The sequence below is a fragment of the Homo sapiens genome, chromosome 1 (assembly GCF_000001405.40).
Source record: "Homo sapiens chromosome 1, GRCh38.p14 Primary Assembly".
Lineage (NCBI taxonomy): Eukaryota > Metazoa > Chordata > Mammalia > Primates > Hominidae > Homo > Homo sapiens.
In genome coordinates this window covers 34,996,887-35,024,790 of record NC_000001.11, presented here as the reverse complement: position 1 = coordinate 35,024,790, position 27,904 = coordinate 34,996,887, and the positions used below count along the sequence as shown (strand labels likewise).

General features: G+C 38.6%; 1 protein-coding gene across 1 annotated transcript in view, besides 1 other annotated feature; it reads left to right on the top strand.

Moving 5' to 3' along the window:
* The window catches only part of ZMYM6 (zinc finger MYM-type containing 6), a 45,781-nt gene that overhangs the window by 7,155 nt on the left and 10,722 nt on the right, over positions 1-27,904 (top strand). Inside the window, exons 3-14 of the mRNA NM_007167.4 lie at positions 4,324-4,408; positions 5,189-5,438; positions 9,629-9,803; positions 9,903-10,094; positions 12,210-12,360; positions 12,786-12,901; positions 13,755-14,033; positions 14,194-14,344; positions 15,867-16,039; positions 17,693-17,840; positions 19,519-19,659; positions 20,786-20,823. Coding sequence (NP_009098.3) covers positions 4,324-4,408; positions 5,189-5,438; positions 9,629-9,803; positions 9,903-10,094; positions 12,210-12,360; positions 12,786-12,901; positions 13,755-14,033; positions 14,194-14,344; positions 15,867-16,039; positions 17,693-17,840; positions 19,519-19,659; positions 20,786-20,823 — 1,899 coding nt within the window. The remainder of the gene's footprint in view (positions 1-4,323; positions 4,409-5,188; positions 5,439-9,628; positions 9,804-9,902; positions 10,095-12,209; positions 12,361-12,785; positions 12,902-13,754; positions 14,034-14,193; positions 14,345-15,866; positions 16,040-17,692; positions 17,841-19,518; positions 19,660-20,785; positions 20,824-27,904) is intronic.
* Positions 27,334-27,545: a silencer, noted in NCBI's record as "fragment chr1:35462847-35463058 (GRCh37/hg19 assembly coordinates)". NCBI's record gives its function as "represses an EF-1alpha promoter that drives an FKBP-Casp9 reporter gene in an ReSE screen in K562 erythroleukemia cells {active_cell/tissue: K562}" and the evidence as "EXISTENCE:reporter gene assay evidence [ECO:0000049][PMID:32094911]".

Sequence of the window (27,904 nt, the reverse complement as noted above, 5' to 3'; positions counted from 1 at the left end):
GGAAGGAGAGGAAGGTTTCACATAGCAGGTAGCAATTGTATTATAAAAATTGACTAAGAGTTTCAGACAGAGAAAATATAGCAGAGAAAATAGCCACGTCATGGAGGGGTGAGAGAATGTGGTGTGTTTAATAGTTGAGTATCAACAATAAAGTGGGAAAAGATAATAGATTTAAAAATGGTTAGGTAGGATTGATCAAATTTAGAGATTGTTTATGGGTGTGAAGGTCAAAGAGGAGTCCAAGGATACTTACAGGTTTTGGGGTTTATGGTGATACCATTTACTGAGGGGTTAGAACAGGATTTTGGAGGAAGTACTAAGTGCAGTTTGAGGTCTGTTGTGTTTAAAGGGCTTGTGGGACATTCAAGTGGTAAACTGCACAAGGAGGCATTTGCACATAAAAATCTGGGATTTGAGATTAGAAAGTTATCTACTTGGAGATGTAGGGCTTCCAGATAAAATACAGGATGCCAGGTTAAATTTGACTATCAAATAAACAATGGTGATTTTTACTATAAGTGTATTGCTTGCAATACTTGGAACATAATTATTCTAAAATAGCACTATTTCAGCTATAGCTAAAAAGAAGGTTTCCTTTTCCTGTAAGATAGCAGGACAGTTTGCTGAGCAATTTGTAGGTAAGGTGGAGGGGGCTGAGGGATGTTGAGGGAGTTCTTAGTTACTTGTTTTTACCTGGTGCAATTGAAACATCAATGAGCAGGAAAGATGTGGAGTTGGGACTCGTGAGCTATGAAGGTTTAGAAAAATTACTTTGTGAGGTAAAAGAAACTGGTCAGGGAAATATAACAGAAATACTAGAAAAATTTTAGAAATTGAGTTGATAAGGCAAAGAAATTTTTATTGAATCTGGCCGGGCGCGGTGGCTCATGCCTATAATCCCAGCACTTTGGGAGGCCGAGACGGGCAGATCACGAGGTCAGGAGATCGAGACCATCCTGGCTAACACGGTGAAACCCCGTCTCTACTAAAAATACAAAAAAATTAGCCAGGCATGGTGGTGGGCGCCTGTAGTCCCAGCTACTCCGGAGGCTGAGGCAGGAGAATGTCGTGAACCTGGGAGGCGGAGCTTGTAGTGAGCCGAGATCGTCCACTGCATTCCAGCATGGGTGACAGAGCGAGATTCTGTCTCCAAAAAAAAAAAAAAAATTTTATTGAATCTTAAACACTCATTTTGGTAATTTGAAGATGTATATAATATTTTTAATGTCCTCTTCATTTTGCAAGTGTCAATAAATATTGTTATTTAAGTATAATGTTTAAGAACATGCACTTTGGATTGAATAGACTTAGATTCCTTCATTTAGCAAGTATTTATTAAATGCCAGTTATGAAACTAATAAATAAGTATGAGAACTAGCATTTTGGCCAGGTGCAGTGGCTCACGCCTGTACTCCCAGCACTCTGGGAGGCCAAGGCGGGCAGATCACCTGAGGTCAGGAGTTCGAGACCAGCCTGACCAACATGGAGAAACCCCGTCTCTACTAAAAATACAAAATTAGCCAGGCGTGGTGGCGCATGCCTGTAATCCCAGCTACTGGGGAGGCCGAGGGAGGAGAATCGATTGAACCCTGGAGGTGGAGGTTGTGGTGAGCTGAGATCCGCCATTGCACTCCAGCCTGGGCAACAAGAGCGAAACTCCATCTCAAAAGAAAAAAAAAAAGAACTAGCATTTTGTGTACATATCGTGCTTGCTTTTGACTAACTGTAAGATGTCATTCTGTATACCTTATTTATATTAAGTCATTTGCCCCCTCCCTCCCCGTTGGCCCTATGGGTTAGGTAATATTATCTTTATTTTACAGATAAAGAAATTGAAACTAAGAAAGATTAAATAGCTTGTTTAGGAGTCAAGATCATATCTGTTTCTGTCTGCTGTTAGAACCTATAGTCATTACTGTTATGTTGACTGTGTTGGGCGATTGGGTATACAGGGGTGAGAAAAACAGGTATTGTCCATAATGGATGTGATCTTTTTAGTCTAATGTGTGTGTAGGGGGAAGGATGAATGTTAAGCATTAATCAAATTATCCAAATAAGCAATGAAATGATTTACTATGGTAACTGCTGTGAGAGAAAGGAGATGGGAGAGACTACTGCAACAGGGGAACTTAATTTCAGTTGGACCAGAGTTTGAATTCATTGTAGTAATTACTTTATATTTTCACATCTATGACAGTGCTATCTTGGGTTTTAGAACAGAGAGACTGGCTGGGTGCGGTGGCTCATGCCTGTAATCCCAGCACTTTGGGAGGTGGAGGTGGGTGGGTCACCTGAGGTCAGGAGTTCAAGACCAGCCTGACCAACATGGTGAAACTCTGTCTCTACTAAAAATACAAAAATTAGCTGGGCATGGTGGTGAGTGCCTGTAATCCCAGCTACCCAGGAGGCTGAGGATCACTTGAACCCGGGAGGGAGAGGTTGCAGTGAGCCGAGATGGCACCATTGCACTCCAGCCTGGGCTACAGAGCGAGACTCCGTCTCAAAAAGAAAAAAAAAACAAAACAGAGAGACTGGGTTTGATTCCCATCTGTGCACGTAGTCTCTTTGTGACCTTGGGCAAGTTGCTGAACATCTCTTAGCTTCACTTTCCTCATCTATAAAGAAGGCATATCTTATAGAGAGCACCTCTTTGGGTGCTCATAATACATATCATGGGAAGTGGTGAATTAATGCAATGGTTCCTAGTTTTTGGCATTTAATAGTCTAAAGAAATTTCTAAAGTAACTTTGGAACTAACATAGCTACTCATTTATTTTGCTATGTGTGGAGAGATTAAAAATACAACTGCCATTTATTACCATCATTGATTCAGAAAAGTAAGACTTTTTAAAAAACTTCCTGTTTTGAAATATGTAAGGGTATTTTAACATTAAAAAAAAGGATGGTTGCAATTTCAGAATAAAGATAGGCATTTACATTTTAAAAATGTTTCATGATTACATTTTGTTTTAAAACGTTTTAAAGAATGTGGTAAGAATAAATAGGATTTTGTCTGTGATGATTTTATGTATAATGAGCAGATTGCATTGACACTCTTGTATCTTTTCTGCCATTAACAGAAAAGGCAGCTTGTAAATCTAAAATGATTGAAATCCAAACTCTAAATCATTCAGATTTAACTTTTCTTTTTTTCTTTTTCTTTTTTTTTTTGAGGCAGAGGCTCGCTCTGTTGCCCAGGCTGGAGTGCAGTGGCACAATCTTGGCTTACTGCAGCCTCCTCCTCCCGGGTTCAAGTGATTCTCCTGCCTCAGCCTCCTGGGTAGCTGGGACTATAGGTGTGAGCCACCACGCCCAGCCAGATTTAATTTCATTTATTGCTCCTTTTTGCCGGGTGCAGTGGCTCACACCTGTAATCCCAGCACTTTGGGAGGCCAAAGTGGGCGGATCACCTGAGGTCAGGAGTTCCAGACCAGCCTGGCTAACATAGCAAAACCCCTTCTCTACTGGAAAAAAACACAAAAATTCGCCGGGTGTGGTAGCGCAAGCCTGTATTCCCAGCTACTTGGGAGGCTGAGGCAGGAGAATCGCTTGAACCTGGGTGTTGGAGGTTGCAGTAAGCCAAGATCACGCCATTGCACTCCAGCCTGGGTGACAGAATGAAACTCCAGCCTGGGTGACAGAATGAGACTCCATGTCAAAAAAAAAAAAAAATTTTTTTTTTCATTTATTACCCCCTTTTAAACACACTACCTAAAAAATAGGTAGTGCTCAGCATTTGGAATAGCTATGTATTACTCCCATATATCAAAATTTCATTTGAAAAGTAGATAAAAGTATTTTAAAAGATTCTCTAATTCTGAAAGATTGTCTTTGTAAAGATTAGTGTAATAACTTGTAAATTTTGACTTTTGAGGTGCTTGTGAAGGTATTTATGATTAGACTGTTTAAGAGATGAATAGGGCCGGGTGTGGTGGCTCACGCCTGTAATCCCAGCACTTTGGGAGGCTGAGGTGGGTAGATCACAAGGTCAGGAGTTCGAGACCAGCCTGGCCAATGTGGTGAAACCCTGTCTCTACTAAAAATACAAAAAATAGTTGGGTGTGGTAGCACATACCTGTAGTCCCAGCTACTCGGGTGGCTGAGGCAGAAGAATCGCTTGAACCTGGGAGGCAGAGGTTGCAACGAGCTGAGATCGCGCCACTGCACTTCAGCCTGGGCACCCAAGTGAGACTCCATCTCAAAAAAAAAAAAAAAAAAAAAAGGAGATGAATAGGATAGAATAATTTTTTTTTGCTTGAATTTCTAGTTTACTTACATACATTGTATTCATTGCTCTTTTCTCTTTTCTTTTTTTTTTTAAAGGAGTATGGATGTGTCCAACAGCCAAAAACTCAAGAAAGTAAATTGAAAATTGGTGGTGTGTCTTCAGTTAATGAGAGACCTATTGGTAAGAAATGGAACTGTATAAGTTAGTTACAATTAATTTGCTTATTCTGACTTTTAAAATTGAGGGAAAGCATCTTTTCATGTATGTCTTTCTCTTTCTTTAGAGCTGTGTTTTTTCAAACTGTGAGTAGCTGGTTTTCAGCAGCGTTTTAAAAAATAGAGTAAGATTATATCAGAATATGATATGTGTAGTAAGGAAACATATTGTTTCATAAAACTTCTGTTTCAGTGATTAAATTGTACATACATCCCCACGTTTACAAACATATGTATGTGAGAACTGGGTTATAATATTAAATGTATTTCTTGCGTTGAGTAATGGTTAAAAAAAAATTGAAACCTCTGTTTTAGAGCTCTTATTGCCTCATTAACTGGATTTCAAGATTGGGAATTTGTCCTGAAAAAGAGAGACTGGGCTGGGTTTAGTGGCTAACACCTGTAATCTCAGCAACTTGGGAGGCTGAGGCAGGAGGATCGCTTGAGCTCAGGTGTTTGAGACCAGTCTGGGCAACATACCTTATCTTTGCTAAAAATTAAAAAAAAATTAGCTGGGTGTGGTGGCATGTGCCTGTAGTCCTAGCTACTCAAGAGGCTGAGGCGGGAGGACTGGTTAATCCTGGGAGTTTGAGGCTTCAGTGAGCCTTGATTGCACCACTGCACTCCAGCCTGGGTGACAGTGAGACCGTGTCTCAGAAAAAGAAAAAAGAGAGAGAGAGAGAGAGACTGAGACTGTATATGCATTAGTATTGATACTAAAACTTTTTTTATTTTGTTTTGATAGCCCAGCAGTTGAACCCAGGCTTTCAGCTTTCTTTTGCATCATCTGGCCCAAGTGTGTTGCTTCCTTCAGTTCCAGCTGTTGCTATTAAGGTTTTTTGTTCTGGTTGTAAAAAAATGCTTTATAAGGGCCAAACTGCATATCATAAGACAGGATCTACTCAGCTCTTCTGCTCCACACGATGCATCACCAGACATTCTTCACCTGCCTGCCTGCCACCTCCTCCCAAGAAAACCTGCACAAACTGCTCGAAGTATAAAATTCTTAACATCCCTTTTTACTTTACCTTTTTTTTAGTGTGTATATTGTTTAGTTCAAACATACTGTTGATACTTTAAATCTCTTCAGCATGTATCTGTAGAAATAACTTTTTAGTTAATGGAAGAATTCACCAATTTTAAAGTTTTGCAACATTAAATAAGTGACTTGGTGTTAGAATATTGCCTAAACCAGTTTTCTATCACTTTAAATTTTACTATGGAAAGAAATAACAAATGACATGTGGGAATTGCAGGACTATCCTGTAATTGTAGACACCCACCATTTAAATTTATTTAACAGTTATCTTGAAAGCTATTGGGTATAGCATAAAATAATATCACTCTTTTAATAGTATACAAAAGCTATTTAATTCTTTAAAAAGTAAAAACTCTACATGGTCGCAAAAATGTGTTTATTTCTAATGTCCTTGTGGGGTCATTGTTGCTTTACAATAATGCTTAGATGCAGAGAGAGGAAAAAACAGCAACAAAGTCACATAAATCTTTCCCTGACTTAGTACATTTGAAGGATTTGGCATATTTTGCCTATTTCTGTGGTAGTGTAATTTGAGGAATACAGTGTGTTGTTAATAGTCACTACAGGCAAAAAACAGTAAGAGCTTGCTTTTAAATTGTGGCTCTGTCATTTATCTCTGTGACTTCGGGCTAGATGTTTAACTTTCTAAGCCTCCATTTCTCATCAGTAAATAATAGTTGCTTCCTAGGACTTTAATGAGACAGTGTTAGCAAATGGCCTAGCACATAGCAAGTACTTAAAAAATGGAATCCTGTTATTATTAATAATAAAAATTATATCGTGCGATTATTTATAATTAACATAAATAAATATAATAAATATATGTGTATATAATACATATTACTATGTATACTTAACATATCACTTGTAGGCCCCTATTTTGTCTTTGGCTGTGTTTATCTGCTTTGTGTCTTGACTTAAACTATTTAAAAGTAGATCCTGCTATATGGAAATTTCCAAGTAAAGAGGAGAGAGGATTTTTTTTTTTCTTTGTTGCCCATGGTAGAGTGATCACAGCTCACTGCAGCCTTGAACTCCCCGGGCTCAGATGATCCTCCCACCTCAGCCTTTCAAATAGCTGGGACCACAGGCGCATACCACCATGCCCGACTAATTTTTGTATTTTTTTGTAGAGATGGTTTTGCTATGTTGCCCAGGCTGGTCTCAAACTCCTGGGCTCAAGCAATTAGCCTGCCTCAGCCTCCTAAAGTGCTGGGACTATTGGTGTGAGCCATCACATGTGGCCAGGAGAGAGGAATTTTAAAATATTTATATACTCTAAATTAGTTTGTTGCAAAATACCATTCTAATTAATGCTTTTATGTCATTCTCATGAAACTAATCTGAAAGAGTAAACTTAGTTTTCTATTTTTAGATATTGTTTCAACATACCAAATACCAAAATAAAATTAAATAATTTTAAAGAACATAACACAACTTATACATCCAAATGCCTATTGTTTTCTTAAAAGTAGTCACCCCCGTCAGTGACTTTTTAGCATAAGGTTAGGAGACAGATTCTTATCTTTTCAGCATGCATTTGATTTTTACAAATTTTCAAAGGCTGCTTGATACCTTAATCAGGCCAATATATTAGCTAATTAAATTAAGTCATACTGTTAAAACATGATATTTATAAAATTAAAAGTTAAAAAATAGTCTAAGGGTTTATCTTAAGTTTTATCTTAAAAAAATTAGAAAAATGTTTTGAGCTATGTTATTGTTGGAAGGTGTGGTTTTTCTACGGTAAATGTTACGATATAACACTCATTTGCATGTGTAAGGTTCAGAGTACACTTATAATTTATGTGCACAGATTTTCATTATAAAGTCATTCTCTTTGATTTACATATTTTTACTTGCTATTTTTGTACTTATTATGCCACTGGCAGATTCACCTTATTAAGTGAAACTCTTTATTGCTCTGTTTTCAGTAGAAAAATCACTTTTCAAAATTAATACTTCATCTGTGTATAAGCATATTCTTTTGGTTTCTAAGATTTGCTGTCATATTTTTAAAGTTGAGTTTTAAAGAATTAAAATAATTTTTGTTGTTGTTATTTTCTCATGGTTTACCATTGAATATACCTGTATAATAAAGGTGCAGGATGGGAGGCAGGATAGTGGAATAATTAATTCCATAGACTAGAATCAGATTGCCTGGATTAGTATTTCAGCTTTATTGCCTACTAGCAATATGACTTTGACAAGCTATTTAACCTCTCATTCAGTTTCCTCATCTGTAAAGTGGCAGTTACAGTAATACTTAACCTTATAGTGGTTTGGGGATTTTTTTTTTTTTTTGAGACACGGTCTCACTCTGTCACCCAGGCTGGAGTGCAGTGGCGTGATCCCAGCTCACTGCAGCCTCTACCTCCCGGGCTCAAGCAATCCTCCCACCTCAGCATCCTGAGTAACTGAGACCATGGGCATGAGCCAGCATGCCCTGCTAATTAAAAAATTTTTTTTATAGAGATCGGGTCTTGCTCTGTTGCCCAGGCTGGAGTGCAGTGGCATGATCATGGCTCACTGGAGTCTTGAACTCCCTGGGCTCAAGCAATCCTTCTGCCTTGGCCTTCCAAAGTGCTAGGATTATGGGGGTGAGCCACTGCACTCCATCATTTTTGTGGTATTTAAATTGGGTAATTTGAGTAAAGAGAATAATGCTTGGCACATAGTAATTACTCAACACACTTATTGTAGTATATATTATTGCCATTATTATTTACTTTGTGGCCTGCACTAGTGTTTATAATTAGTGACTATTTCCTTTAGTTTTTATACTTGTCAGAAGAATGGCAATACTTAACCTCTGTTTTACCAGGGTATTGCTATTTGTGCTTATTGCAATAATTAGCTCTTACAAATTGGCTCTAGGAGTCTCACAGAACCACCCAATTATTTTTGTTCTTCCTGTCTCGTTCTTGTTTCCATCTGTCCTCTGATACAAAGCCTTAACAGCCCTTTTGTCATATATCATGCTTATTTTTTGTCTTCTGTTAGCTCATTTGTTTCTCAAAATCTTGCACTTTTAATTTTTAAACATTCATTTATTGTCTTGGCTGGACACGGTGGCTTATGCCTGTAATCCCAACACTTTGGGAGGCTGACGCAGGCGGATCGCGAGGTCAGGAATTTGAGACCAGCGTGGCCAATATGGCGAAACCCCGTCTGTACTAAAAATACAAAAATTAGCCTGGCATGGTGGCACGTGCTGGTGTCCCAGCTACTCGAACCGGAGGCTGAGACAGGAGGATCGCTTGAACCCAGGAGGTGGAGATTGCAGTGAGCCGAGATCGTGACACTGCACTCCAGCCTGGGCAGCAGAGCGAGACTCCGTCTCACAAAAAAAAAAAAAAAAAAGAAAGAAAAAATTCATTTATTGTCTCATTTCAGTTCTACTTTGGGCAGCCTCTGGCTAATGAGAGAACCAGTGTCTTGTGGTCTGGAGTTGTGGGATGGACACTGGTCCCATTGGCTATAGCAGATGAAACTTGGTTGGGGCTGGAAGCCTTCCTATTTTTGTCTTCAGCATCTGGCTGGCCACATATATATATATATATATTTTTTTTTTTTTTTTTTTTTGAGATGGAGTCTAGCTCTGTTGCCAAGGCTGGGGTGCAGTGGCACAATCTCGGCTCACTGCAACCTCCACCTCCCGGGTTCAAGTGATTCTCCTGCCTCAGCCTCCCGAGTAGCTGGGATTACAGGCGCCCACCACCACGCCCATCTAGTTTTTGTATTTTTAGTAGAGACGAGGTTTCACCATGTTGGCCAGGCTGGTCTCGAACTCCTGACCTCATGATCCGCCCACCTCGGCCTCCCAAAGTGATGGGATTACATGCATGAACCACCGCACCTGGCCCTGGCTGGCTATATTTTAAATATAATTCACTCTTGACAAATTTATGAATTAGATATTATAAGCCCCATTTTATACATGAAGAAATTGAGATAGTAATTACATCATTCATTGTCACTCACCTGATAAATAGCAGAACTCATCAAACCCAGGTTTGCAGATTCCTTATCCTTTTTCTACCATACAGTACCTGCCCTTAGTAAGTGTTATTTCACCTCACAAAGAGGAGGAAGTTACAGTTGTGAAGAATACATTTCATTTTTACCTTTGTTATTTATTTTTAGAGACATTTTAAATCCTAAGGATGTGATCACAACTCGCTTTGAGAATTCCTATCCTAGCAAAGATTTCTGCAGCCAATCATGCTTGTCATCTTATGAGCTAAAGAAAAAACCTGTTGTTACCATATATACCAAAAGCATTTCAACTAAGTGCAGTATGTGTCAGAAGAATGCTGATGTAAGTTACATTTTACTTTTATTGGGATTCTGCTGAAAGAGATTTTTTTTTAACTGGCTCTGCTTATTTTGTGTGTGTATGTGTGTGTTTATTTCCTAGACTCGATTTGAAGTTAAATATCAAAATGTGGTACATGGTCTTTGTAGTGATGCCTGTTTTTCAAAATTTCACTCTACAAACAACCTCACCATGAACTGTTGTGAGAACTGTGGGAGCTATTGCTATAGTAGCTCTGGTCCTTGCCAATCCCAGAAGGTTTTTAGTTCAACAAGTGTCACGGCATACAAGCAGGTATGAATATCTATTTGTTGCATGTACTTAGGCCCACTCCTTCTGATTTGGCTGCACAGGGATGAACTACAAAATGAGAGTGAGCTCCTCCCATTAGTCCATCCTGATATGTGATTTCCCTTCCAGAAAATGGGATAGATTCTGATGGTGTGAGGGATGATTGTGGTGGTAAGTTGATATAGGTAAAATAGGTCCCTTTTTTAAGGCTCCCTTCATAGCTAAGAATTTACAAATGTGATTTCTTTTCTTTTTTTGAAATCGAGATAGGGTTTTGCCATGTTGCTCAGGCCGGTGTTGAACTCCTGAGCTCAAGCCATCCACTCGCCTCAGCCTCCCAAAGTGCCGGGATTACAGGCATGAGCAACCACACCTCGGCCTCATAAATGTAATTTCATGATTTTCTGTGAGCATGAAATATTTTGTGATGTATTGATAGCAAGAAAACCATATTATAAATAAACCATAAGCAAGAGTTAAGATGATAAAATCAGTGAATCTAAACAAAGCTTGTCTTTTTCATTTCAAAATGTGTTTGGGAATGAATTGTAATTATTTGGTCAACACTGTCTCATGAGAATACTTCAAGTAATTTTATTTATTGTAATGAATAATGGATTAAGCCGGTTACTAAATATTATCACCTTGTGTCAATTTAATTATTACTAATTTGTGGTTTTAAAAAGTTTTTCTTAAAGAAGTATCTTGTAAGGCCGGCGCGGTGGCTCACGCCTGTAATCCCAGCACTTTGGGAGGTCAAGGCGGGTGGATCACGAGGTCAGGGGTTCGAGACCAGCCTGACCAACATGGTGAAACCCTGTCTGTACTGAAAATACAAAAATTAGCTGGGCGTGGTGGCGGGCGCCTGTAATCCCAGCTACTCAGGAGGCTGAGGCAGGAGAATTGCTTGAACCCGGGAGGTGGAGGTTGCAGTGAGCTGAGATTGTGCCACTGCAGTCCAGCCTGGGTGACAGAGCAAGACTGTCTCAAAAACAAACAAACAAACAAAAAAAAAAAACAAAGATGTATCTTGTAAATGATAATTAAACTTTTTTTCAGTTAGCAAGTTTGATTTGTTGCTTCCTTTGAGCAGTTGGTAATGGACATATGGACATTCATCACTGAAAAGAATCTCTTTTTTTAAGATTTGCCATTTTTGGCAGTCTGGTTCTACTTTCACAGGAAAAGAATCCATGTTATTTTATATATGATCCCAAAATCAGTTCCATTTCTAATTTTGTTACTAGTATTGTACTCTGTCTTTTTACTAGGAAGATTATGTAGTGAAACCTCACAATTTATATTTTCCTACAATTTCTTTTCATATTGAGAGACCTTATAATGTATCACTGACAGCATAGTGTAGTGGTTAGGAGCCTGAACTTTGGAGCCTGATGAAATGAGTTTAATTTCCTACTTCTTCTGCTCATCTGTTAATTTAAACTTTTTGTTAATGTAATTTTTGAGAGCGCCTCACTCTGTTGTTGAAAGGTTTCTGTGATACACTATATATAAATTTCTTAGCCTGGGGCCTGACTCATGGTAAGCATTCAGTAAGTTATAATATTGGTTATGTAAATGGTAGCTATTTTTATTATTTCTTAAAACATGAATAAACTTATAAGCAGATTTTATTATGAAACTCAGCTTGAAAAATAGGTAGTTGTGTAGGATCTCTATTAATATACATTAAATATCATTTCTATCTCCTGCTAAAGAATCTCACAAATTAAGTAACCTTAAAGGTGGTAGACTCTTCTAGATTGATGTACAAGACTATACCAAGAATGACCCTTTGGTTCATGGGTTAGCTGGTCTTCTCTGGTTATTGGTGATTAAAAAGTATGTAATGACTATTTAATTCATTACTTGTGTTTGAATTCATGTGTTTTGTTTGCTAAGATCTCTATCTGAATAGTTACTAATTTTCTTCAGTTTCTATTTTATTGTTGTCTGGAAGAACTTATTTTCCCACCTCCCAATAGTGTGGTTTCATCATCATGCTCAAATATTTCAACCAAGGACCGTGGTTGTAGGTAGCTTTTCTTTTTACTTTTTTGAACAATATGTAAATATGTATGTTTGTACTAGGTATCTAATGTTATTTTATTTTAATAGAATTCTGCCCAAATTCCTCCATATGCCCTGGGGAAGTCATTGAGGCCCTCAGCTGAAATGATTGAGACTACAAATGATTCAGGAAAAACAGAGCTTTTCTGCTCTATTAATTGCTTATCTGCTTACAGAGTTAAGACTGTTACTTCTTCAGGTAATGTTTAAATTTGATAAATTTATAGATTTAATAACTATTGAAGAAAAACGTAACTGCTTTTCTCTGATTTTGTTACAAGCTAAATTTATCTATTTAGTTAAATAAAAACCCAAGACTGACTTTTAAATAACTGACTTTTATGTGAAAATAGTTTTTCCCCGATTTTCTTGGTTGCAATATATACAGTATTTTATAATTTCATATGTGAGAGGAAAGAAAAAACACTTAAAATTTCCAAGTTAGTTTTTGTGTAAGTGGGACTTAATAGAGGTTAGTTGTGGTTAGATTTCAGATTTTTATAAAGTTCCTTGATTTTTTTGGTATATTATTGATTATTTAATTTTTTCATTCTCCCAATACATTTTTGTATTGTTTGTTCATTGGTATAACTTAATCATTGTTTTTAATTTTTTGTCACCAAGGTGTCCAGGTTTCATGTCATAGTTGTAAAACCTCAGCAATCCCTCAGTATCACCTAGCCATGTCAAATGGAACTATATACAGCTTCTGCAGCTCCAGTTGTGTGGTTGCTTTCCAGGTATGATCTAAGGTAGCACATTATGCATGTGGTTCTGTTAGGCATCGATCTGTGGCACAGTGTTAACTGCTGAAGGCCTGTTCTTATGAAAGTTTAAATTTGAATTAAAAAGAAAAAAATTTGTTTCATCCAGGGGCCCAACCAGGTCATTTCTACAAAATATCTGAACCCAGATATTGGGTCTCAGCAGTTTCTTCTTTATTTAGGATCCTAGCCTAAACTGTCATTCCCTCCCACTTTCTCCCTTGGGTCTCTCCCCTTCAAAAAGATGGAAGCTAGGATTGTGGTTTGGGTAGGTGGTATGGTGAAGAACAGTAGCCTGATGGGATTCACATACCCCTTCCTCTCATCCTGTGTCAGAAACACAGTGACTCCTGGCATGGAATTGTAAGCATCCACTTGTCCCATTTTCTCCTCCCTCTCTGCAATACATACACAAAGAGTAGAGTTTAGTAATCTCCAGGGTAGGAACATGCCTGATGTAGTATCCCTGGCATTAGGGAGAAAGAGACTGCTGGTAGCTATTGTGTCGTAGTAGCCATCAGAAGCTGGTTGATGATGGGAGTGCAGGTAGGGGGAAGTTTTAGGGGGAAGGAGAGGCCTGCTCTAATTTATTAGAGGCATATACTGGAGGTCTTTGTCAGGAAAGCCTGAATTCCAGTCCTTGACCTTTTAATGTTGTATTTCTCAGTCCTTTTATTCTGGAAATATACCATTTAAACTCTTTCTGTGAGATAGAAAATTTTAAAAAATGTTTGTGGGAGACTTGATTTATTAAAATGAGGAAATGAAAAGTACAAAGTTATCTTATTTCTCAGTTGATAAAATCTTTACCTTATTTGTTTTCATTCAGAATGTATTTAGCAAGCCAAAAGGAACAAACTCTTCGGCGGTGCCCCTGTCTCAGGGCCAAGTGGTTGTAAGCCCGCCCTCCTCCAGGTCAGCAGTGTCAATAGGAGGAGGTAACACCTCTGCCGTTTCCCCCAGCTCCATCCGTGGCTCTGCTGCAGCCAGCCTCCAACCTCTTGCTGAACAATCCCAGCAAGTTGCTTTAACCCATACAGTTGTTAAACTCAAGTGTCAGCACTGTAACCATCTATTTGCCACAAAACCAGAACTTCTTTTTTACAAGGTAAAGAGAGATCATGAAAGGGATTGTATATAAACTCATCCAGTAGAAACACTTTTGTGTTTTCAATTTTGATCACTCAATTTGCTTTGACATGAAAAGGAGTTCTTAAAGATAAAGCAACTGTTTAGTTGGCTCTTAATGGACTGTTGTTTCTCTGCAGGGTAAAATGTTTCTGTTTTGTGGCAAGAATTGCTCTGATGAATACAAGAAGAAAAATAAAGTTGTGGCAATGTGTGACTACTGTAAACTGCAGAAAATTATAAAGGAGACTGTGCGATTCTCAGGGGTTGATAAGCCATTCTGTAGTGAAGGTAAAGACAAAGTTGTTTTATTCACAGAGCATGGGTTGTTATAATTCATGACGACTTGGGCAATTAAGCCATGATTAGTTTTCACATTCTTTTTGTCTTACAAGGTGTAATTAGAAGTATTTTGGAGGCCGGGCATGGAGGCTCACGCCTGTAATCCCAGCATTTTGGGAGGCTGAGGTGGGTGGATCACTTGAGGTTGGGAGTTCAAGACCAGCCTGACCAACATGGTGAAACCCCATCTCTGTTAAAAAACACCGTCTCTATACAAAATTAGCCGGGCATGGTGCCGCACGCCTGTAATCCCAGCTACTTGGGAGCCTGAGGCAGGAGAATTGCATGAACCTCAGAGGCAGAGGTTGCAGTGAGCTGAGATCATGCCATTGCACTGCAGCCTGGGCGACGAGCGAAACTCTTGTCTCCAAAAAAAAAAAGGTTTTTTTGAATTGTGTTTATAGTTAATTCACTTTAAAGTCAATCTTTTTATTTATTATTTTTGTTTGTTTATTTTTTTGAGACAAGGTCTTGCCCTGTCACTCAGGCTGGAGTGTGGTGGCATGATCTTGGCTTATTGCAGTCTCTGCCTCCCCGGTTTAAGGGATCCTCCCACTTCAGCCTCCCAAGTAGCTGAAGCTACAGGAGCGTGCCACCATGCCTGGCTAATTTTTTTTATTTTTGGTAGAGACGGGGGGTTTCACCATGTTTCCCAGGCTGGTCTTGAACTCCTGAGCTCAGGTGGTACTCCTGCCTCGGCCTCCCAAAGTGCTGGGATTATAGGCGTGAGCGACTGTGCCTGGCTGAAAGTCAGTCTTTTTAAATGTTGCAGTAATTGCAATAAAAAACTGTAAAAATGATTACATCAGTGGTATTAATAAAGAAAATCTCTTCATAAGTTTAGCTATGACATCAGAGATCTTTTTGTTCTTGCACTCATTTGCGAAGAGGAACTTAAAACAGTTGCTGCTTCTTGGCTTAAAAAACTTTTATACCTCTAATGTTTCTGAATATAAATGGCCTAATATTTAGAGTATATTTAAAAGGTGGTGGCAGGGCGCAGTGGCTCACGCCTGTATTCCCAGCACTTTGGGAGGCCAAGGCGAGCCAGATCACCTGAGGTCAGGAGTTTGAGACCAGCCTGGCCAACATGGCGAAATGCCATCTCTACTAAAAATACAAAAATTAGCTGGGTGTGGTGGCAGGTACCTGTAATCCCAGCTGCTCTACTCAGGAGGCTGAGGCAGGAGAATCGTTTGAACCTGGGAGGCAGAGGTTGCAGTGAGCTGAGATTGTGCCACTGCACTCCAGCCTGGGCAAAACGAGTGAGACTCTGTCTCAAAAAATAAAATAAAATAAAAGGTGGTATGAGTTTGGTTTGTGAATATAGAGACTGTCCTGTAATCTAGAGGCAAATAATTGTGTATTAGAAATTAGCTTAAAGTTTCATATCTAAGACCACAGAAACTTATTATACCTCCTCAGTTAATGTAAATTTGATTTTTCTTCCTTTCATCCCTCTGATCCTCAGTTTGCAAATTCCTCTCTGCCCGTGACTTTGGAGAACGATGGGGAAACTACTGTAAGATGTGCAGCTACTGTTCACAGACATCCCCAAATTTGGTAGAAAATCGATTGGAGGGCAAGTTAGAAGAGTTTTGTTGTGAAGATTGTATGTCCAAATTTACAGTTCTGTTTTATCAGGTAAATGTGATAATATACTTTTTTTGGCTTTCTGAAATCAGTGCAAATTGTTTTTATTTAAAATGTATTCAAATTATGTGAAGAAAAATTTGGTGTTTAGCACTGGATAAAATAAGTTATGGGCTATAATAGAAAAATTCAATTGAATATAAACAGGAAATCTTTGGGATAAAAAGTATAGGATTTCTGCAGACTTTGTTGTTGGTTGGATATGTTCCTTTTATTTTTGCCTTCTTATGAGGCACTTTGCCCTTATTTGACTTCTTTCAGGTTAGAACTTCACATAATGTTGCCTGAAGTGGCTCTCTCATTCAGGTTACTCTGAGGAATTTGAAGTTAGACCTTGTCTCACTTCATAGGTCAAAGGACAATAGCTGGCAACCATTCCTACCTCATTTTTAAAAAGATTAACTTTTTGAAAGGCTAACAATGGTAGCTACAGTTAATTGAACCACTAATACATGTCTGGTGCTCTGTAAGTGTCATTTCATTTAATCCTTACCATAGTCCCAAGAGGTAAGTATATTACTGCCATTTTATAAATAAGGAAAAGGAGAGAGGTCCAGGGAAGTTAAGTAATATGCTCTTGAGGAAGCTGGTAGGTGACAGCAAGACAGCATCTATAACACTCTGGTAAATCACTGTTTGTTTTTCTACCTCTAAAAAAATAGAATTTTATTGTTGGGGGAGGGTAATATATTTTTCATGATTATATAATTAGGGCCAATCACAGTGCTTAAGACAAAGGATGTCTAATTAAATATTTGCTGAATGAATCAAAATCTTTATGACTCCAAAGCCCATATTATATCAACTACTGTAAGCTGCTGCTTAATTTTTTAGAAGTTGAACCTATCTTTATTTTTTTTTTACTTACTTTTTTCATTGTGTATCTTTTCTTCCCCCATCCCACCTGCCCACCCCCCATCCCCCAGCCAGACAGAATCTTGTTCTATTGCTCAGGCTGGTGTGCAGTGGCGTGATCAGTGGGCGATGTTGGCTCCCTGTAGCCTCTGCCTCCTGGGTTCAAGTGATTCTCCTGCCTCAGCCTCCCGAGTAACCAGGAGAGGTGGGCACCACCATGCCCAGTTATGAACCTATCTTTAGATAGATTCCCTTATTGGTAATTTTGAAAACAGAAGAGCATTTTTTTTTTTTTCTATTGAGACAGAGTCTTACTCTGTCACCCAGGCTGGAGTGCAGTGACGCGATCTCGGCTCACTGCAACCTCTGCCTCCTGGATTCAAGCGATTATCTTACCTCAGCCTTCTAAGTAGCTGGGATTACAGGCGTGCGCCACCACACCTGGCTAATTTTTGTACTTTAGTAGATACGGGGTTTCACCATGTTGGTCAGGCTGGTCTTGAACTCCTGACCTCATGATCCGCCCACCTCGGCCTCCTAAAATGCTGGGATTACAGGCGTGATCCCACAATTACCGTGCCTGGCCACAGTTTTTATATTATCTTGATTTAGGGCATCTATATAAAACAAATAATTAAATAAAATCAGTATTTTAAGGTAAGAACCTTACATTTTGTAGTCTCAACTGACTCATATATCCTGTTTTCGTAGTCCCTCTTTTTATGATTAATGTTATCTTTTCATTATTTTATAGTTTTAAGCCTATCTTGTCTAACATTTCTTTTTCAGATGGCCAAGTGTGATGGTTGTAAACGACAGGGTAAACTAAGCGAGTCCATAAAGTGGCGAGGCAACATTAAACATTTCTGTAACCTATTTTGTGTCTTGGAGTTTTGTCATCAGCAAATTATGAATGACTGTCTTCCACAAAATAAAGGTAAAATTAAACTTAGCTAATGGGATTTTTATGTCAGTGCTAGGACACTATCAGCATATACAGTTATAAATAATATAATAAAAACAAAATTTCATTGGATTCAAATAGCCTGAATTTCCTTAAATTTTTCTTTAAGAAGTCTTTAAGATTTCCCCTTGAGGGAAAAGTAATTCTAATACTTTTTGCTCTGATAGTCAAGCACACCAAAAGGCCAATAATGTATATGCACTAATTTTTATAGGAAACTTAGATTTGATTGCTTTTTGATTGAATGTATCTGTACATAAATAACTTAAACTAGGGATATATACTATTTAGTTAATAAACCAGAAATAAAAACAGAAAATCAGGGCAAACAAAGGGAGAGTATAGTTAATATAGTTGCTGTGACTAGTGTAAAATTTGTTTCAGAGCTTGCTTATAGGCAAGGAGAAAAGAACAACACGTTAATTATCTCAGAAAATATAAAATGGAACAGTTCTTCATGGGTAGCAAAGTTTATCCTAGCTAAGAATAAAATAATTTTGCAAGTAGGACAGCTAATATGGTCAGAATATCCAGGTGAGTAGATAGATCCATGATATATTCATAAAGTAGCTCTCCTAAGTATTTCTTTCTAAGTATTAGATTAAAAACATTTGGTAGCCAGGTGCAGTAGCTCGCACCTGTAATCCCAGCACTTTGGAAGGCTGAGATGGGCAAATTACTTGAGGCCAGGAGTTCGAGACCAGACTGGTAAACATGGTGAAACCCCATCTCTACTAAAAATACAAAAATTAGCCAAGTGTGGTGGTGTGTGCCTGTAAGCTCAGCTGCTCAGGAGGCTGAGGCACGAGAATTACTGGAACCCAAGAGATGGAGGTTACAGTGAGCCGAGATCATGCCATGGCACTCCAGCCTGGGCTACAGAACGATATTCTCTCTCTCAGAAAAAAAAGCCACTTGCTATTATGTTCTCTGTTCAAAGCCTGGAGTGCTACCTGATTGACAGAGCTTTGGCTCTTTGCAGTCTGGCCATTGCCTACCTCTGCAGTCTTATTAATGATTACCTTAATTATAAATGCCTTGTGCTAATCTTTCGTGTTAGCCCTCCATTCCCCAGAACCAGTCAGGCTGGTAGTAGAATATTCATTTTATAATATGGGTTAAGAAAACTAGTGTTATGGGGTTGGACAGCTCCCTCATTAACTTATTTATAAAAATTGTCATGTTAAGTTTTTATCTGATGCATGCTTAGGTCTAGGAGTTTTAATAGTCACTAATAGAACAGTCCAGTGAATCCTGAAGCTAATACCTGTCTTTTTTTTTTTTTTTTTTTTTTGAGACTAGGTTTTGCTATGTTGCCCAGGTTGGTCTTGAACTCCTGGGCTTAAGTGATCCCCCTGTTTCAGCCTCCCAAGTAGCTGGGATTACAGGCTGGTGCCACTGTATCCAATACCTGTATTTTTACCTGTTAAATGTCATTTGAGGTTTATGACTTTATAGAATTGGACTCTCTTTAAGTCCTAAAGAACACTAATCTGACCAGAGTCACCCAACCTAACATGATACAGAATCAGATATTTATATTGCTTCTTGAAAACCTAGTTACTAAACAGGGTTTTGTGTGTGAGTGTGAGTGTGTATGAGAGAGAGACCCTTTTGCTTATTCCAGATCTTAACTTTTTATTTTAATCAGTAAATATTTCTAAAGCAAAAACTGCTGTGACGGAGCTCCCTTCTGCAAGGACAGATACAACACCAGTTATAACCAGTGTGATGTCATTGGCAAAAATACCTGCTACCTTATCTACAGGGAACACTAACAGTGTTTTAAAAGGTATGACTTGATATAATGGCATTTGGCTAAGCCATAGAAGTGAGTGTTGTCTAGCCTAAGTAGTTCTCTCTTTTTGAGACAGTTTCACTCTTGTTGCCCAGGCTGGAGTGCAATGGCGTGATCTCAACTCACTGCAACCACCGCCTCCTGGGTTCAAGCAATTCTCCTGCCTCAGCCTCCCGAGTAGCTGGGATTACAGGTGCCTGCCACCACGCCCAGCTAATTTTGATATTTTTAGTAGAGACGGGATTTCACCGTGTTGGCTAGGGTGATCTCAAACTCCTGACCTCAGGTGAGCCACCTGCCTCGGCCTCCCAAATAGCTGGGATTACAGGTGTGAGCCACCGTGCCTGGCCAGTAGTTCTTACTGGTAATATCTTTCTTTACGTGATGTAGGGGAACATGCACCCCCTCCCACCGCCTCCCCACCCCCGCCTCAGGGGAGTGGGTAGCAAGCAAGGTGGTGTGGATGGGAAAGGAAGTGTTTTTATTTTTGTTTTTTCAATTTTTAATTTTTTTTTTTGAGACGGAGTCTTACTGTGTCACCCAGGCTGGAGTGCAGTGGCGCAATCTGGGCTCACTGCAACCTCCGCCTCCCGAGTTCAAGCGATTCTTCTGTCTCAGCCTCTTGAATAGTTGGGTTTACAAGTGCCTGCCACTACACCCAGCTAATTTTATATTTTTGGTAGAGATGCGGTTTCACCATGTTGGCCAGGCTGGTCTAGAGCTCCTGGCCTCCCGCCTTGGCCTCCCAAAGTGCTGGGATTACAGGCCACCACACTGGGCTAATTTGTTTGTTTTCTTTTTAATCAGGCAGGCTCTTGAGCCATAGAAGGCTCAGAGGTACTCCCTGGGAAGTGATATTTTTTTAGGAGCCCACATGATTTTAATATACCTACTCCTTTACTGCCAGAGATTCTAATACAGTTGGATGGGATTGGGGCCCTGGAATCCTTACCGTTATTAAGCACCCTGGGTGATACTGATGCAGTTTCCTTGTACCATTTTTCTGAGAAACTCTGGTTTAGACTCTAGCCCAGCTTAATGGGAGGAAAGTAACTTCTTGATTTCAGTGTTTACTTCTGTATATTCTAAGGATAATAATATTTGTTTTAATTTACAACAGGTGCAGTTACTAAAGAGGCAGCAAAGATCATTCAAGATGTGAGTTTAATTGTTAATACTTTTCTTGATAATGCCACTTGGGCTTATTTTCACTTTGGATATGGCATTCTAATATATCTGAATACTTTTCTTTTTGCTGGAAGAGGGTCCTAGTCATTAATCTAGGTCTTGGGCACAACTAACAGTAAAGTGACTGGCATAGGCTTTTGACCATATTTCGGCAGCAATTACTGTTTTTGAAGATGATGTAAATGTGGATTGCTGTTCATAGTGGCAAGCTTAGTCTTTAAAAAAGTGGAGTAATAGATGGTGTGCTTTTGTTTTGAATCTTACAGTTTAATCTTAGATCATTAGTAAGAATGCATTCTTGATTTATTTTATTATTTGTATTCAGGTTCTTTAATTTATTTAAATTCTTGTTAATTCCACCTGGTTGGAAATAACAAAACTACATTATTTTTCTCTTTTACTATATTCAAGTATTTTCCTTTAAGTTTTGAAAGTTCAGTGTAGTCCTGTTTTATGCAACTTTGAATTATGTGAGACTGAAAATAGTGCAAAGTAAAAATATATTTAGACTTTCACTTTATGTCTCAAATTTGAAATATTGTGAGACTTCTCAAAATTAAAAGAAACGTTCAAGAAATGCATACTTTCAAGTCTGGCCGGCTGATTGCAAATTATGGCATTGTTGCCCTGTATCAGCATCACTTTAGCAGGAAAACAAAATTCCCATCATCCTTTATTAGTATCACATGATACTGTATCAGGTCTTGGGTTAATGTTTTTGATGACTGTTATGCTTTTTTTTTTTTTTTTTTTTTTTGAGACAGGGTCTTGCTCTGTTGCCCAGGCTGGAGTGCGGTGGCATGATCATAGCTCACTCAACCTCGAAATTCTGGGCTCAAGCAGTCCCCTACCTCAGCTTCCTGAGGAGCTAGGACCACAGGTGTCTGCCACCACACACAGCTTATTTTGTTTTTTTTCTTTTGTTGAGATAGGGTCTCAGTCTTGCTATGTTGCCCAGGCTAGTCTCAAACTCCTAGCCTCAAGTGATCCTCCCGCCTCAACCTCCCAAGCTGTTGTGATTACAGGCATGAGCCGATGGTGCCCAGCTTGTGCTGCTGTCCTAACATTTGCTCTTGATATAATTAAAACTCTTTTTTTATATCGTAGAATAATGCCATTTAAGTGTTATATTAAGTGGTGGTGCTAGTGCTAAAAAAATGTGCCCCAAATTTAATAACTTTAGAACAAAAGTTAGATGTGATAAAAAATCTATGAAGATGACCAAACCACTGCTGTGATATCTCATGCTATTAATTTAGGAGAGTGTACCCAGCAGAATATTAGCAGTAGTGCTCAAAAAACTGAAAGCAGTATTAAAGCAGGTATGCCTCTTAGTTCACAAAAATTATAACCAGGCAATGATAATGGAATAAATGGAAAAAAATTCTGGTAACACAAGTTGCAAGATCAGTGCTGCCATAATGCACCCCTGAGGGCAATCTATCATCTATGCTAAGGCATCAGTATTTTCATTTTGATTTGAAAAGAGGTGACAGTGAGACAAAAGGTTTACTACAAGTTATGGCTGGTTCTCCAATTTTAAAGCCCACCAAGGTTTTAGGAATATAAAAATGCACTGGCAAGCTGTATCTGCTAACTCCAAAGCTATGAAAACATTTCAGCTTTACCATAATTTAAAGAGGCTTTAACTTGGAAGACAACATAACACCTGCTAATAAGGAATCTGTGTAAGTAGAACAGAAGGTAGATTTGCACAGAGTTCCTGAAGAGGATATTGAATATTTGCTTGGGTTGTCCCCCATGGATTAATAAAGGAAGTCTTGCTAGAATTAGAAGAACAAAAGCAACTGGAAGAGGGTCCTAGCAGTCAATCCGGGCCTTGGGCACAACTAACAGTAAAGTGACTGCCATAGGCTTTTGACCATATTTTAGCAGCAATTACTATTTTTGAAGGTGATCTAAATGTGGATTGCTGTTCGTGGTGGCAAGTCTAAAGATGAAAAATGTGTCTGCATACCAAGAAATCCTCAGTGATAAAAAAAAGAAAGAAAAAACTCTCAAACCACATTAGAGTCATTCTTTAGCAAAAGTCTTCCAAGGAATCAGACCAGCCTTCACTGTAATGTGGAGAGGTAGCTTATCCTAATTTAGTGTCTCGTAACTCTCTCATTATTTGTGTTATTGGAAGATGATAGTAATTTCTCCTTAATTATTTTCAAGCAGTATACCACATTAGATAATTAACTGTCATTAAGTTAACTTGGTATTTATTTGAATATTATGTATTTTGCATTAAATTATATTTTAAAATTACATAATAAATCACTGTGTTGTACATTATTAACCACACAATTGTATAATCAAGGTATTAATGTATTATATATTAGTAAGTATTAACATGTATTCATAAAAACATTCTATATTAGTTGTAGATTTATGTACTCTGAGAATGCTTCTTTCCTCTGTATATATGAGATAATTAGTCTTGAATTATGTTAGTTTTGAATTATTTAGTTTTTTAGGAACATATACCTCATATTTCATGTAGCTGCCCTATATATGTTTTCCCTATGTGGAGTATTTCTATAATTCACCAGTCATTTAAACTATGTTACAGAATAGTTTTGATTAATATTTTTACTTTAGTCTATAAAAAGTATAATAAATAATGTAGTGCTCTTACAATGTGAAAAAAAAAAAAAAAAACACCTGACAGTTTTAGAATCTTTTCTTGGTTTCTCTGAGAACTTTGTTGTGAATCTCCCTCAAGTTACTTAAATGATTTTAAATTTTTGGGAAAGGTGAAAAATACAGAAAATTACAAAGAGGAAAATCTGTAAAACTCAGCAAACTTTTTCTATAAAAGTCTAGATAGTAAATATTTTAAACTTTGCAGGCTCTATGGTTGCAATTGTAGACTCTGTCACCTCTGCCATTGTAGTGAAAAGCTGCCATAAATAATACATGAAAGAGTGAGTGTGGCTGTGTTCCAGTAAAATTTTATTTACAAAAACAGATGGTGGGCTGGACGTGGTGCACAGGCCATAGTTTGGCAACCCCTGCTCTATGATATTCCCACTATCCAGAATTAACCATTGTTAGATTTGGTTTATTTGCTCAGTTTCTTTCCCCTACCTTTTTCTTCTTTTTTAAAAAATTAACCACTACTACCAGTTAGTCTCCCTTTTACATCCCTGGAAGCAACTGCTATTATGAGTTTAGCATGTGTTCTTTTAGACAATCTTTAATATTTAATATTAAATGGAAAATATTTAATATTGTTTTAAAAAATACCTATCCATGTTGATACTGAGTAGGTTTGGTACATTCCTGTTGATTATAGTAATGTTTTGCCTGTAGGTACCACATTTTATTTATCCATTGTCCTATTGATGAACATTAGATCGTTTCCAGGTTTTTGCTATTAAAAATCTTTGCAGTTAGGCGCGGTGGCTCACGTCTGTAATCCCAGCACTTTGGGAGGCCAAGGTAGGTAGATCTCTTGAGCTCAGGGGTTTGAGACCAGCCTAGACAACATGGCAAAACCCCATCTCTACTGAAAATACAAAAAATTAGCTAGGTGGTGGCAAGTGCCTCTAGTCCCAGCTACTTGGGAGGCTGAGATGGGAGAATCACCTGAATCCAGGAGTTCAAGGCTGTAGTAAGCCTTGATTGCACCACTGCACTCCAGCTTGGGTGACAGAGACCCTGTCTCAAAAACAAAAAAAAAGAAAAAAAAAATCTCTGGGGCGAAGTGTGGTGGCTCACGCCTGTAATCCCAGCACTTTGGGACGCCAAGGATCACTTGAGTCCAGGAGTTTGAGACCAGCCTGGGCAACATGATGAAACCTCATCTCTATAAAAAAATACCAAAAAATTAGCTGGGTATGGTGGTGCACGCCTATAGTCTCAGCTACTTGGGAGGCTGAGGTGGGAGGGTTGCTTGAGCCTAGAAGGTAGGTCAAGGCCGCGGTGAGCTGAGATCACACCATTGCACTACAACCTGGGTGACAGAGTGAGACCCTGTCTCTAAATAAATAAATAAATAAAAATATCCGCTACAGTGAATATCCTTGTATATGTCTCCTGTGTGTGTAGATGTGTAGAAATGGGAGAGTAGAATTGTTAGGTCAAAGAGCATTTTCATTTTTAGGGCTGTTCCAACTTTTATCCCTACCAACAGTTATGACTGTACCCATATATTACAGCCTCACCATCATTTAGTGTTGTCAAATTTAAACTTTTTTTGCTAATCTGTTTGGTGGTATCTTATTGTTATCTTATTTTATGTGTTACTGATTACCAGTAGGTTTGCTTATATTTCTGTTTTTTGGTCATTTGAATTTTCTTTGAATTTCCTGTTTTTAATTTTTCCCTATTTTTGTGTTGAATTATCTTTTTCTTAATGATTTTTAGGTGGTCTCTCTGTAATCTGGATTTTCCCCCTTTTCAACTCATTATTTTCATCAACACAAAAATATGCAGTCCTACATCTTATCTGAGAATAATCCTTTTTTAACACCATGGCCCTCCAGCAACTATCCCTTTTCTCTGCTCTCTTTATGGAAAAACTCCTCTAAAGGTAGCCTGTTCTTGCCACCTCTGTCTCCTTATCTGTAATCTCTCCTTAGGTCATTCCAGTCAGGCTTTTGTCTGCACCACTGCATTGAAACTGTTCTTGTCAATATTGCTATCAGTCTTTATATTGCCAAATCTGGTAGTCAATTTACTGTATTTAACACAGTCACTCTTTCCTCCTTTCTTGAAATACTTTCTTCATTCAACTTCCAGGACATCATACTTGGCCCTTTTCTCAGTCTACATTACTTTTAGTGAATTCATGCAGTCCTGTGGTTTTATTTATTTACTGATTGAGACAGGGTCTTGAGTGCAGTGGCATGATCTCAGCTCACTGCAACCTCCACCTTCTGGGATTGAGAGACCCTCCCACCTCAGCCTTCTGGTAGTTGGGACCACAGCGGCATGCCACTATGTCTGGCTAACTTTGTACATTTTTAGTAGAGATGAGGTCTCGCTATGTTGCCCAGGCTGGTCTCAAACTTCTGGACTCAAGCCATCCTCCCGCCTCAGCCTCCCAAAATGCTAGGATACAGGTGTGAGCCATTTCTCTTGGCCCACTCCTGTGGTTTTAAATACCACCTAGATGGTGATTGATTCCTTCTAGATTTATTTAGATTTATTTCTCTTACCCTGACCTTTGAGCTCCAGATTCCTGTATCCAGCTGCCGACTTGACATTTACACTTATATGATTAACAGCCATCTCAAATAATATATCTAAAACAGAACCCTTTTATCCCTCCAGACTTCTCTTCAGTGATCCCTACTTCTTACCACCTCCATTACCGCCTCCTTAGTCTGAGCATCATCATTCTTTTGGATTATTGCAGTGACCTATCTGTCTTCCTGCTTCCATTTTTGTCCTTTGCAGTTTTTTCTCTACACTGTTACCAGAATGATCTTTTAAAAACCCAAATCAGATCATGTCATTCCTCCGCTCAAAAACCTTCAATGACATTCTGAAAAGAATAAAGGAGGCAAAGAGCAAGTTTCCACATATTGAAATTATAGGAAAACTACAGATATAAAGCTACGTAGTTAAAACAATTGGTACTGGTGCACGAATAGACAGACAACCCAGTAGAAGAGAAATCCAGAAATAGGTCCAAACATATATATATATTTTTGAGACGGAGTCTTGCCCAGACTGGAGTGCAGTGGTACAATCTCAGCTCATTTCAACCTCCGCCTCCTGGGTTCAAGCAGTTCTCTGCCTCAGCCTCCTGAGTAGCTGGGATTACAGGCGCGTGCCACCACGCCTGGCTAATTTTTGTATTTTTAGTAGAGACAGGGTTTCACCATCTTGGCCAGGTTGGTCTTGAACTCCTGACCTTGTGATCCGCCTGCCTCGGTGTCCCAAAGTGCTGGGATTACAGGCATGAGCCACAGCACCTGGCCCAAACATATATTTAAAATGTGGGAATTTAGTAATGATAGAGGTGGCATTTCAGATCAGTAGGAAAAATATGGATTATTTAATAAATAATGCTGTGACAACTGAGTAGACATATGGAAGAAAATATAGATTTGCACCTCACAATTTAGACCAAAATAAAGTTCAGATGGAGAAAGACTTAAGAAATTGTAAGTATGTACTCAGAAAAATATAGGAAAAAATTTTAACGGTGTAGAGGTCTTTCTAAATATGTCACAAAACCCGGAAGCCATAAAAGAATCAATGGGGAAATTCAACCATATTTCAAAATCAAAAGACAAATGACAAAATGAAAAGGTTACATACAACTCATGTTACAAAAATCTAGTGTTTTTTAATATGTAAAGAGCTTCTATGGGCCAGGTGCGGTGGCTCATGCCTGTAATCCCAACACTTTGGGAGGCCGAGGTGGGCAAATCTCTTAAGGGCAGGAGTTCAAGACCAGCCTGGCCAACATGGTGAAACCCTCTCTCTACTAAAAATACAAAAATTAGCTGAATGTGTTGGCACATGCCTGTAATCCCAGCTACTCAGGTGGCTAAGGCACGAGGAATTGCTTGATCCCGGGAGGCGGAGGTTGCAGTGAGCCGAGATCACGCCACTGCACTCCAGTCTGGGTGACAGAGTGAGACTGTCTCAAAAAACAAAACAAAAACAAAAAATCCCCAAGGAGCTTCTATGAATCATTTTAAATGCCAGTAGGAAAATGGGCAAAAGTAACATATGCAAAGATATTTAACTTCAAAATGAGAGAAATGCTGGTTAGAACTATGGCTTAATTAGATTGGCAAAGAAAAACGATGGATAACACTGCTAAGGTATTCTTATTGCCAGTAGGAGTGTAAATTGATAAAAGTGCTGCAGAGGGCAATTTAGTAGAACCTGTTAAAATTTTAACTTCCATTTACCCAGGAACTCCATTTTTAGGAATTTATCTTCCAGATACATTTTGTACATTTATGAAATGAAGCATGTACAAGGATTTTAATCATAGCATTGTTTATAGTAGCAGAAGCTTGAAAACAACCTAATTTAAATTTCACCAGTGGTCAGGGCCATGGTGCATTCACTCTGA